This window comes from Homo sapiens, chromosome 4 (assembly GCF_000001405.40).
Source record: "Homo sapiens chromosome 4, GRCh38.p14 Primary Assembly".
NCBI classification, from domain to species: Eukaryota; Metazoa; Chordata; class Mammalia; order Primates; family Hominidae; genus Homo; species Homo sapiens.
Genome location: NC_000004.12, coordinates 179,725,901 through 179,728,284, shown reverse-complemented (window position 1 = coordinate 179,728,284; position 2,384 = coordinate 179,725,901). Strand labels below are relative to the sequence as shown.

General features: G+C 42.3%; 1 annotated feature.

Moving 5' to 3' along the window:
• Positions 1,409-1,930: an enhancer, noted in NCBI's record as "NANOG hESC enhancer chr4:180647508-180648029 (GRCh37/hg19 assembly coordinates)". NCBI's record gives its function as "activates a minimal SCP1, AML or CMV promoter by ChIP-STARR-seq in naive H9 embryonic stem cells {active_cell/tissue: H9 hESC(naive)}" and the evidence as "EXISTENCE:reporter gene assay evidence [ECO:0000049][PMID:30033119]".

Sequence of the window (2,384 nt, the reverse complement as noted above, 5' to 3'; positions counted from 1 at the left end):
CTCAAATGTATTTGATTGATGTCTCATGCCTCCCTAAAATGCGTATAACCAAGCAGCTCCCTGACCACATTGGGCACATAGTCTCAGGCCCTCCTGAGGGCTGTGTCATGGGCCATGGTCACTCATACTTGGCTCAGAATAACATTTTACAGAGTTTGACTCTTTTCATCAACGAGCAAAATTTCACGCGCCTCCGTGTGAAGAGACCACCAAACAGGCTTTGTGTGAGCAATAAAGCTTTCTAATTACCTGGGTGCAGGCGAGCTGAGTCCAAAAATAGTCAGCTAAGGGAAATAGGGCTGGGGCCATTTTATAGGATTTGGGTAGGTAATGGACAATTACTGTGAAAGAGGGTAGTTCTCTGGCCTGCAGGGGTGGGGGTCACAAGGTGCTCAGTGGGGGAGCTTCTGAGCCATGAGTAGGAATTTCACAAGGTAAGGTCATCAGTTAAGGCAGGAACAGGCCATTTTTCACTTCTTTTGTGGTGGAATGTCATCGGTTAAGGCAGGAACTGACCATTTTCACTTCTTTTGTGATTCTTCACTTGCTTTGGGCCATCTGGACCCATACGTGCAGGTCACAGGGGATATGATGGCTTAGCTTGGGCTCAGAGGCCTGACACAAAACATGTCCCTTTAGAATGTACCTTTTGACCTTGCCCTCATTCACTGATTTATATTAGTGAAGAGTTCAGTGCTGTGTTTCATGTTTTGGATACCACAATATATATTTCTGACTTTCATTGATTAAAAATTTTCATTGATCTTCTCGATTATGGTGACTGAAAGCTACCTAAGGACTGAGACTGAATTTACCATCCCCTACCTTCTTTTTGGAATTCAAACAATCTAATTAACCTTCAAGATAAGCACAGCTTCAGCAGCTTCAGAATGGGCCAAATTCTTATCAATGGTGTGAAATTCCAGAACTTGACTAAAGAGTGAACTTATAAAAAGGTATCTATCAGTCATAGAAAGAAAGATCACAATATATCTATTTTTATTGTGTATCTAAGAGTCCAACTAGAAAAAGGGCAAGTACCTTATTACTGCAGGAAATTAAAGGAAGATGTTTTCTAAATAAGTCAAAAGTATTTTAACAGTTTCCCAATAAATCTCATCCCCATTAATTACATTTTGTAAAAATCCTATATCTACTCTAGGAATACAATTTCCAACAATGCCACAAAACCTTGGTCAAAAGTGGGTACATTTGTCAATGCATGACTTTTGATGGTGATATTGATATAAGAGTTAAGAATAAATCACTTAGGCAGTTAGCAAGGGTATGGGAGTCCTCAGTAAGGCTTTTCTTTTTAATGAAAAGCAGCCCCAAATCATTTTCTAACAAAGAGCAGCCTGAAAGCTGGGAGCTTGCACAGGTGAATTTCATGTGCGTCCGTGTGAAGAGACCACCAAACAGGCTTTGTGTGAGCAACAAGGCTGTTTATTTCACCTGGGTGCAGGCAGGCTGAGTCCGAAAACAGAGTCAGCGAAGGCAGATAGGGGTGGGGCCGTTTTATAGGATTTGGGTAGGTAAAGGAAAATTACAGTCAAACGGGGGTTGTTCTCTGGTGGGAAGAGTGGGAGTCACAAGGTGCTCAGTAGGGGAGCTTTTGAGCCAGGATGAGCCAGGAGAAGGAATTTCACAAGACAATGTCATCTGTTAAGGTAGGAACAGGCCATTTTCACTTCTTTTGTGGTGGAATGTCATCAGTTAAGGCAGGAACCAGCCATCTGGATGTGTATGTGCAGGTCACAGGGGATATGATGGCTTAGCTTGGGCTCAGAGGCCTGACATTCTTGTCTTCTTATATTAATAAGAAAGATAAAATGAAACAGTGGTAAAGTGTTGGGATGGCAAAAATTTTGGGGGATGGTATGGAGAGATAATGGGCGATGTTCCTCAGGGCTGCTTCGAGCAGGATTAGGGACGACGTGGGAACCTAGAGTGGGAGAGATTAAGCTGAAGGAAGATTTTGTGGTAAGGGGTGATATTGTGGGGTTGTTAGCAGAAACATTTGTCATTTAGAATTATTGGTGATGGCCTGGATATGGTTTTGTATGAATTGAAAAACTAAATGGAATAAGAGGAGAAAAACAGGTATTAAAGGTCTAAGAATTGGGAGGACCCAGGACATCTAATTAGAGAGTGCCTAAGGAGGTTCAGCATAGCCCTGCCAGCAAAGATTATTTATTTCAGAGTTAAGAGTGGCAGTTTGGGGGTAGCACCAGGAGATATCAGCTGTGATGACTTGGAGAAACAGTGTAAACTGGCAGTGTAAACAAGAGCAGGGCATGTATGAGTAGTTGAGAATGGTGAATAGGAGTATGACTAGACAGAAGATAGTAGGGATGACAAGTTTTTTGGGGAGCACAGTCCAA